Genomic DNA, 10,721 nt, shown 5'->3' with positions numbered 1-10,721 from the left:
ACTCAAAAAGAGGAGACTCTTTAGGTTCCATGGACACATACAGGAGAAAAACCAGCAGATGGAGGAGGAAATACACCATTTATTTACAATTCTTTTCACTTTATCCACAATTTCCCATACAAACATAAAAACTAAAAAAATAAAACCACCACTTGGGAACACAAGTGTCTTTCTTTAATTAGTCCGGTTGAGGGAGGGTCTCAAGCCCTCTCACTCTATGAAGGAGACCACTGAGGCACACCGAAGGGGAAAAGGAAGAGGGTTGGGAAGAATGCCTGAGAAACAGCTCCAGATGAGAAACCTAACTCACACCGATGTGGTGGGGCCTCACTGGCAAAGAGACTTGAGGGTGTTACCCACCAGGGACACTGCTCGGCTTCCCAGGAGGATGACAGCTGCTGGCCCCCATCCCCCCACCCTCCACTACCAAATACCAAAACTCAAACAGGGGTCACACATCTCATGAGCTGTGTGGGGAGTGAAGGTGACAGTAAGGGATATGGAGTGCTGCTCTCTGAGAAGAGCCCCAAACCCGAGGGACACACAAGAAGCCCCTTTCCTTGGCACTGAGTCTTCAGTCACAGCTTCTGTCCGAATACAATGCTGAACTTGAAAACGTAAAAACAAAAGCCCTCCCCAGATTCCGGGGAAGGTGGGGATAAAAACACATAGAGAGGGCTTGCCCGCCTCTGCAGTCCCTTCCTGGGGAGGCTGCTAGGAGCAAAGGGCAGATGCTCCAGGAAAGTCTGGGGGTTGGGGGGCGGGGTGAAGAAAGGGGCGAGGAGGACTCTGAGACACTGATGCTTGGGATGGCTCCAGCTGCTCAGCTACTCACTTCAGCAGCCTCCCGTTCTACCCCTCACAGCAGGACACCCAGAACCAACCTGGAGGTGCTGAAGCCACCTTCCTGGCAACTTCCTCTGTGCTAGTGACCTAGATTGCTTTCACATGTTGATGCACATTATAAATATAAAATCATATCTGCTACAAAGAGGACATATATTTGTACATCTTTACCCATATACATAATAACACAATTTACACATAATATCTTGGAGTGGGTCATCATGGAAAAGGGGTCTGGAGAGCCCCTTCTGCCTCCCCTGCCCCAATCCCTCTTCAAGGGATGCTTATACACTTGGTCACTGGGGCCCTTCCCAACTAGTTTGATGGGGCTCGTCTGGACACAGAAATTCAGACATGTGACTAAATGCTGATGGGCATGTATACACATTCACACCCACACACACATGCAGACACCTGGTGAGAAAAGGAAAAATAAAATTCCTAGCCCTTGGGTGTAGGCCTCTTTCCAGAGTTACAAGCATCAGTGCCTCCTCCATCTAGAATAATGGTTTTAAAAAGCTACCCCTCACTGGCTCAGACTGGGGCAGAAGGGGAACGGCTAGGAAACCAGGAAGAGGGAAGAGGGGCCAGGAGTCTTTCGAAAATATAAGGCGTTTTTGACCTGTGATCAAATCAAACTATGTTCACAAAAAAAAAAAAGCAACGGTTATCAGTTGGGGCCTGTCCTTGTAGGGACAATGTGAGGTGAGACCCTGAGCCTTCCCCTTCTTTGTCCAGTTTCTTTTAAAGGGGCAGACAACCCTGTACCACCTTTTCTGTCCTCTCCCAGAACTGGGCCCATCCACGCGGCATGGAATACTGACAGTGGTCCAAGTGACACATCCAGAGACATGGAGTGGTGGATGCCAGAAAGTTAAGACCTGGGCGGTGGGTGTGAGCTTTGTACAACAGGAGTGGTTCCTGGCCGGGGTCCACGGCTCGCACAGTGGCCACAGTGATCAGACTGCCATCAGAGATGAAGGCAGTCTGGGTCCCCGGAGGAGACAGCACCTATCGGCGGTAGTGATTTGGGGCATCGGCAAACATGTACTTGAGTCTGTATGCCTCGGCGAGAAGCAGCCCAATTTCTTCGTTGCCCCAGTGTATTGTAGGTAGGTTCTGTAGCAGCATGAGGAGACCCTGGAATGCAAGAAAGGACTTTTATATCATACCAGACCGTAGACCATCAGACAAGTGAACCCATTCTTAGAGACCAAGGCCTAGAATGGGGCCCCTTCCTCCTGGCTCACACATCTCAAAGAGTCCAGCCTCCTTCCTCCCAAACAGTACACAGCTTTCAGTCCTAGTTCACCTCAGGAGGTCTTGAAAGCCTCTGCTGATTCTCTAGTCCACTAACACCTGTCTCTTTAAAAACATAAAAAACATAAATAGGGAATGACAACAATAAAGATTTTTAAGAGAGAAAAATAATCACTTATCCAAATATACCTCTCTTAATCTTAAAGTATTCATTTTCAGTCTTTTCTTCACATGCATATTTCTTTAAATAGTTGTAACAATAATTATGACTTTTTTTTGAGACAGGATCTCGCTCTGTCACCCAAGCTGGAGTGCAGTGACGCAATCACAGCTTGCTGCAGCCTTGAACTCCTGGGCTCAAGTGATCCTTTGACAAAGTTAAAATATAGGCCAGGCGCGGTGGCTCACGCCTGTAATCCCACACTTTGGGAGGCTGAGGCGGATGGATCGCGAGGTCAGGAGATCGAAACCATCCTGGCTAACACAGTGAAACCTGTCTCTACTAAAAATACAAACAATTAGCCAGGCAAGGTAGCACACGCCTGTAGTCACAGCTACTTGGGAGGCTGAGGCAGGAAAATCATTTGAACCTGGGAGGCGGAGGTTGCAGGGAGCCCAGATCGCGCCACTGCACTCCAGCCTGGCGACTGAGTGAGACTCTGTCTCAAAAAAAAAAAAAAAAAAAAAAAAAAAAAAAAAAAGAAACGGACAAAATATTTATAACATCTATAGAAGATAAAAGGTTAATATATGTAATCCATAAGGACTGCCTACAAATCAGTAAGAAAGAAGGCAAACAGCCAAATGGGAAAACAGACTAGCAATGTGAATAGCTAACGCACTAATGCCAGTGGCCACTCACACTATGATGACTTACAAACCCTGCTCCTAGCTGATCCGAATACTCCAGCAGCATTCTGCAGTTCTCAGTGTAAAGGTCTTGTGCATCCTTTATGAGATTTCTTCCTTTAGTACTAGAAGTGTAGCTGGGCACAAAACTGCCCAATGCACATCACTGCTATGTGTGGCCAATACGATTAGGTTCTGGCCAATTCTGGATGTGAACAAAAATGATAGGTGTAACTTCTAGGTTTTGCTCTAAACTTCTCTCCCTCTTAGAAAATGGATATGAATGGAGGAGTAGAAGTGATCATCTTAGACCATAAAGTTAAAGCATGTGTTGAAGATGGCAGAGTAATAAGACAAATCAGAGTCCCTAACACTCCAAAACCATAATGTTAGCCCTGGACTGCTTACACTTAGACTGTTAGTTGAAGGGAAATAAACAACTCTCTTGTTTTAAGCCACTGTTATTTTGAGGTCTTGGTTACAGTAGACAAGTTTATATCATCTTAACAAATACATACCATATCTATCAAAATAAGAAATGCACATGGTCTTTCATCCAGCAACTCTGCTTCTAACTCTCTATCCTAGGGAAATAGTCACACTACTGTGTGTACAAAGGTATTCACTGCATCATTGCTTCAAATAGTGGAGAAAGGATACTAGAAAAGCGTCTGGCAATATGGGAATGGTGAGATAAACCATGGATTATCTGCATCATGAGATGCAAGGCAGCACTTGAAACAAGCGAAGCCGGTCTACATGTATCAGTATATGAAGATAAAGAAGACATTTTGGAAAGGATAAAAAAGGCAGTTGCAGAACAATATTTACAGTATGATCCCACTTAGGTAAAAGAAAAAACACAACAATATATTTGTATATGTACATGTACACATAAACATTTTAGAGAAGTGGGAAACTGTTCACAGTGGTTACCCTTTGGGAGGGAAGCCTTTCACTTTTCTCTCATTATATTTATGTATCTTATAAAATATTTGTGTATTATTGTGTTATGAAATAACTTTTTTTTTTAGTAATAACTACTCTGGGCTGGGCGCAGTGGCTCATGCCTGTAATCCCAGCACTTTGGGAGGCCGAAGTGGGCCAATCACTTGAGGTAAGGAGTTTGAGACCAGCCTGGCCAACATGGTGAAACCCCGTCTCTACTAAAAATACAAAAATTAGCCAGGCATTGTGGTGGCCGCCTGTAGTCCCAGCTACTTGGGAGGCTGAGGCAGGAGAACTGCTTCAATCTGGGAGGCGGAGGTTGCAGTGAGCCGAGATCACGCCATTACACTCCAGCCTGGGTGAAGCTACTCTGTGGAAATTTTGTTTACTAAAAAGTAAAAAAAAAACAGAAAATAAATTACCCATAACTTCACGATCAAGAGGAAGCCATTTTAAAACATTTTGGCATATTTCCTTCCAGTCCTTTTCCTACATATTTTACATACTTGAAATATTTTCTCTACATAATTTTGAATCTATGCAACATTTACCGTAAGCATTTCCTCTAATATTAAAAATTCCTTGTAGATATTTTCAATATCCAAAGAATTTTCCATGATGTAAGATGTACCAGAATTTACATCCTCCTGTTTTGAGCATTTAATTATTTCTGGTTTTTCACTATAAAAAATTATAATGAACATCTTTATGCACAAAGCCTTATCTTGGATTATTTCCCTAAGCCAAATTCCTAGAAATGAAATTACTATTTCAAAGGGCATAAACATTTTATTTTTATCTATCTATCTATTTATTTATTTAGAGACAGAGTCTTGCTCTATTGCCCAGGCTGGAACGCAGTGGCACAATCTCAGTTCACCGCAACCTCCGCCTCCCAGGTTCAAGCGATTCTCCTGCCTCAGCCTCCCGAGTAGCTGGGATTAGCCATCACACTTGGCTAATTTTTGTATTTTTAGTAGAGATGGGGTTTCACCATGTTGGCCAGGCTGGTCTCGAACTCCTGACCTCAGGTGATCCGCCCGCCTCAGCCTCCCAAAGTGCTGGGATTACAGGCATGAGCTACCGCGCCTGGCCCACCACAAACATTTTAAAGGTCTTTAACATTCAACCAGAAAATATATTCCAGAAAAATGCCCATTTCCCTAGATCTCTACCAGCACTAAATATTCTCATTTAAAAAAAAAACAAACTTTGCTAATGCAAAGTCTTCCCTTTGATCCCCAAGCCCAAGAACAGAACTCAAAGCCGTCATGATGGTGGTGAACCCCCGGAGGAGTGCACATCCCAAGGTCCCCACTCTCCCCTCCATGGTTGCTGGCATCTGCTCTCTCCAACCCTCCAGGCAAACCCCTCCAGTCACATGATTACGGAAATTCACTCAACCAGACCAGTTATTCAACCAGTTATTGATATTCACTCAAGCCAGCAGATGCTCTGCTTTTAAAAACTCTGCCTTTAGCTGATCGGAACATCTTTGGAATATTCCCCTCTCACAGGAGTAATTCCCTCTTGGTTCTATTCTGGCCTCAGTCCTGTCTGCCTCAAAGCTTTTTTTGTTTGTTTTGTTTGAAAGAGAACCATCATTTCTATCTCAACTTATTTTTTTTTTTTTTTTTTTTTTTTTTTTTGAGTCGGAGTCTGGCTCTGTCGCCCAGGCTGGAGTGCAGTGGCACGATCTCGGCTCACTGCAAGCTCCGCCTCCCGGGTTCACGCCATTCTCCTGCCTCAGCCTCCCGAGCAGCTGGGACTACAGGCGCCCACCACCACGCCCGGCTAATTTTTTGCATTTTTAGTAGAGACGGGGTTTCACCGTGTTAGCCAGGATGGTCTCGATCTCCTGACCTCGTGATCCGCCCGCCTCGGCCTCCCAAAGTGCTGGGATTACAGGCGCGAGCCACCGCGCCCGGCCCTATCTCAACTTATTTTTTAAAATGTTGACCTTGGACCATACTACATGCCCCCACCCCCATGCCACCATGTACTCCCTGGCCTCTGGCCCCTTTTACCCATCTCTGCTGCTTCCTACCTCCTTCCCGCACCATGTCCCTATCCCACAACAACTGGAAAAGGTGTTGCCTCTTTTTGCTAACATTCTCCTCAGGTAGACCACTTGTATCCTAAGTTAGGCAGGCTCTCTTTATAATGGTCTCAGTCTTTTCTGTACCTTAGACTCTTGGGCTGTCTGGTGAACCCCATCAATCTCCTCAGAATAATGGTTTTAAATATTAATACATAAAATAAAATGCATACTAATCAATTTTTTTAAAATTTGTGATATTCACCTCTGTGTGGTAAGATTTCTTTTTCTGTTTTTTTTTGAGACGTAGTCTCGCTCCGTCACCCAGGCTGGAGTGCAGTGGCATGATCTTGGCTCACCACCACCTCCACCTCCCAGGTTCAAGCAATTCTACTGCCTCAGCCTCCTGAGTAGCTGGGACTACAGGCATGAGCCACCATGCCTGGTTAATTGTTTTTTATTTTTAGTAGAGACGGGGTTTCACCGTTAAGCCAGGATGATCTCAATCTCCTGACCTCGGGATCTGCCCACCTCGGCCTCCCAAAGTGCTGGGATTACAGGCGTGAGCCACTGTGCCCAGCCTAAGATTTCTTACTGGAATTTTCTAAATTTTTCTATGATGGTTACATACACTTGCAAACTGATAACAAACAAGAACAGCCAACAAAGGACATAGCTCTCTAGAAGAGAATACTTTTTTTTTTTTTTTTTTGAGGCGCAGTCTCACTCTGTCACCAGGCTGGAGTGCAGCAGCAATCTTGGCTCACTGCAACCTCCAACTCCCAGGTTCAAGCGATTCTCCTGCCTCAGCCTCCTGAGTAGCTGAGATTACAGGTGCGCGCCACTGCACCCAGCTAATTTTTGCATTTTTAGTGGAGACTGGGTTTCACCATGTTGGCCAGGATGGTCTTGATCTCTTGACCTCGTAATCTGCCCGCCTCAGCCTCCCAAAGTGTTGGGATTACAGGCGTGAGCCACCGCGCCCAGCCGAGAATACTCTTTGTTGAGATGAGATCTACCTATAATTTCCAATTCTTCCAGTCTTAACAGAAACCTCTCAAAAGCTTCCAAATAATTCCACCCCTGCACAAGTGAATGTCCCCACTTCCCCCAAGGGAAGTGATGCTTAGCCGTAAGGAACCACTCTGCCACCTGGTGGCTATGCCTAAAACTGCAACATCCCCACCTCTAGCCCCGACCCTAGTCTACCACCTGCTGTCCTCATGCTGCAACAATGGGAAACCCTGCCCAGTGGATTAAAAAAGTAGAAACTCACTTTGGGAGGCAGAGTTGGGTGGATTGCCTGAGCTTAGGAGTTCGCGACCAGCCTGGCTAACATGGTGAAACCCCATCTCTACTAAAATACAAAAAATTAGCTGGGCGTCATGGCGTGCCCCTGTAGTCCCAGCTACATGGGAGGCTGAGGCAGAAGAATTGCTTGAACCCGGGAGGCAGAGGTGGCAGTGAGCCAAGATTGTGCCACTGCACTCCAGCCTGGGCGACACAGTGAGACTCCATCTCAAAAAAAAAAAAAAAAAAAAAAAAAAAGTAGAAACGATAATTATGGCTGGGGGATGAAGGTGCTAATCACAAATCAGGAGCTTTTATCTAGGGGCAGAGAAGAGACACTACCGGGGCAGGGAACAACTGAAGATTTGTTACAAAGCCAGTTCATGGGAGCACTTAAGTATCACATGCAGTCAGATGAGATACTATAGTCAGGAGGAGGAGAAAGCTTGTAGGGCAAGTATCAGAAAGAGATTCCCAATTAATAGAAAGGGAGCAAACACCCTTTGTAGAAAACAGTTGGAAATGGCTGAAATAGCAGAAAAGGGCCAGGCACAGGTACCTGCTGAAAATTCACACAGGAAAAGGCAATATGGCAGAGAAGGACTTTGAGCCACATGTGATGGGTGGAAAAAAAACAATTAGGTAAGAGGCCAAAGGTAAAGATAATGGGTAATAAGCAGAGACTTTGAAAAGGGAAAGGTATAGGAAAATTCCACTGCAGACTGTCCAATAAAGGTGGGAGAATAATTGAGGAGGAAGAGGAAGAACACCAAAGATAATCAGTATAACGGCATTTATTATTTATTGAGCACTTATTACATAACAGATGGGGCTCTAGATGTTTCACATGTACTTTGTACTAGTTTGTTTAATCCTACATCTACTCTATGAGATACATATTAACTTCCATTTTACAGATGAGGAAATTGAGGCACAGAGGTTAAGGAACTTGCCTAGGGTCACAGGGTAGTGCTAGCCAGGGATTTGAGCCCAATCTGGGCATGTGCTCATAATTACTAGACTATATACTGCCTGCCCTGGTGTGAGAAGAGAAGTAAGGCATAAAGTAGAAGGAACAAAAAGAAGAGAAGTCATAAAAGAGGCTGTTTGAAGGAAATCTAGAAGCATTCACTTTTTTTTTTTGTTCATTTTTACTTTTATTTAGTCATTAAGTCCTTGGACTCATAGTAAGGCTTGATGCCATATTGGTGTCACACTGCCAAGCGATCCAAAGCATATGTTAGCCTTCTATTTCAACTTCTTCGTTTACTAATGTATCACTGGACCCAGCAGGCAGCTCATCCAGACAATTTCAGTAAGGCATTTTGGTGCATAATAGGCCACAGTCCTTATAAAGTATCCAGTTTGTCTTACAGCTGAGAGATTTGAACCTGCTGTAGATGTGTCACAGCTAAATTCTTGAATGGATTTTTATCATCGGTGCCACCTCTTCCTCTGCCTCTTCTTGGTCTTTCCCAGCCACCAGTGTGACCCAGCTGGTGACTAAGAGTTGACTAATTTTACTCTGCAATAAGGGCTGGCACAACCAAACACAGGATGTATAATGATGAGCAACAAAAGAACATTAAATATGTGCTATTAAATAAGATACTGTATCTAGAATCACTTTGCAGTACTGGAACTTTCTTTGCAAATGTATAGTGTATTCAAGCATGTAAAAATGCCTTTCTAGTCAAATAAATACTTTAAAACAAACCTCTTCTATTCTGAGAATCAGTGAGGTAGTAAAACATTTCCTCTGGTCCCTATACAACTTTTCAAAAACATGTCCCTATGATATAAGCTTGTTGAGAGTCAAACTTTTATTCATTGGCTTTTCCTGAATCTAGGAATTTGGCAAAGTTTCCTCTCAAAGAAAGCTGTGCAGAGTTCCCCTCAGTGGCTTGTTTTTGTTCACATGTCTAGGAACCGTGCCCTTTCTCACACCAGCTTGTTTTGGGCAGAAAGATCTTCAGTTCCCAGGGTTCCCTCTGAACCCTTGTGTGAAGGATTCAAACTGGCAATTCACCAAATGTCTGTAAAGACAGGGCCTCCATTCGGCAATGTTCCACAATCGCACCCCTGTGTTCTTGCAGAAGTGGTGGGTGGATGCCATCTGGTTCAAGGGATTTATTTACATTTACTTTATTATTGAGGTCTGGAACATCCCATGGGCTTAGCACTATTTAATAACCCTGACCTGTCTCCTACAAAAGAAACCTTCAGAGTGGGAATCTCTCCAACATTTTCTTCCAGCTGACCCCCTTGTCATTTCACTCACTCACTCACTCATTTGAGACTCACTCTGTTGTCCACTGATGGCTCATTGCAGCCTCGCCCTCCCTGGCTCAGATGATCCTCCCACCCAACCTTCCTAAGTAGCTGGGACTACAGGTGTGTGCCACCATGCCTGGCTAATTTTTAAATATTTTTTTTAGAGACAGGGTCTCCCTATGTTGCCCAGGGTGCTCTCGAACTCCTGGGCTCAAGCGATCCTCCTGCCTCAGTCTCCCAAAGCGCTGGGATTACAGGCATGAGCCACTGCGACTGGCATCTTTTTATGCATTTGAAGAAACTTTGATTATTAGTCCTCAGAGTGCCCTGCATGGTGCTTCTCAAATTCCATCCTGAGCCCTCTGAGGCCTTGCTGGCGCCTGCTGACATCTTCCTGGGCTCCCATGTTCTGGGCTTCGCTGCTGCTGCTGCTGCTGCTGCTTTCCCGAGATGACTTTTTAGAATAGAGTGACCAGGTATTTGCTCAGGCGCCTGTCCCCTCTGACTCAGGCACACGCTCTTCATAGAAATATTATCCTAGAGTCAGTTTTCAGGCCTCCTATGGGTTGCTTTATTCTGTACAGAGTTTCTGCCTGCTGCTCATCTAAGTGCCCACAACTGGGCACAGCTCATGCTCGTCTACACGTGCAGTGAATTTTTGACTTCTGGAGGTGTTCCCCTGCTCCCCGTTGTAACCCCTTGGTTTTGGGTTGTAATTATGTGGTGCTGCACTGACCACAGGGGGCTTGTCACGCCTTTCCTCATCACAGAACTCACTCAACCAGTTCCTGTCCCGAGGTCTGACATTAATCTGCTTTGGGAAGTCTTCCCCAAGTCTGACAACTGCAACCTGCCTTGATGGCATATTCTGCCAATGGGTGTTGGGAATAAAAACATGTTTTTATTACAAACACCTATGGGGATAGCAGGTCTCTCAGCACTCACAGGCTCCAGCCTTGTTCCCTCAAAAGTTCCCTTTGCTTACTTCCTTTTTCTTTTTCTTTTTTTGAGACAGAGTCTCACTTTGCTGCCCTGGCTGGAGTGCACTGGCACGATCTCGGCTCACTGCAATCTCCGCCTCCCAGGTTCAAGCGATTCTCCTGCCTCAGCTTCCCGAGTAGCTGGGATTACAGGTGTGTGCCATCACACCTGGCTGACGGAGTTTCACCACGTTGGCCAGGCTGGTCTTGAACTCCTGACCTCAGGTGATCTGCCT

General features: G+C 45.2%; 1 protein-coding gene across 3 annotated transcripts in view; it reads right to left on the bottom strand.

Moving 5' to 3' along the window:
* Nucleotides 1-59: 59 nt before the first annotated feature.
* TBC1D22B (TBC1 domain family member 22B) overlaps nucleotides 60-10,721 on the bottom strand; it is a 75,199-nt gene continuing 64,537 nt past the window's right edge. For 2 of the 3 annotated variants that reach the window (NR_130108.2, NM_017772.4), the window contains exon 13: nucleotides 60-1,986. Coding sequence is in view for 2 of the 3 variants with exons in the window: in NM_017772.4 (NP_060242.2) it covers nucleotides 1,858-1,986 (129 nt within the window). In the remaining variant the exon portion in view is untranslated. Of the gene's footprint in view, nucleotides 1,987-8,020; nucleotides 8,769-10,721 lie in introns of those variants that run through there. The other variant, XM_011514738.4, reaches the window with a different exon arrangement.

Source organism: Homo sapiens, chromosome 6 (genome assembly GCF_000001405.40).
Source record: "Homo sapiens chromosome 6, GRCh38.p14 Primary Assembly".
Taxonomy (NCBI): domain Eukaryota; kingdom Metazoa; phylum Chordata; class Mammalia; order Primates; family Hominidae; genus Homo; species Homo sapiens.
Note: the sequence above shows the minus strand (reverse complement) of the source record. Positions and strands in the feature narration are given on the sequence as shown.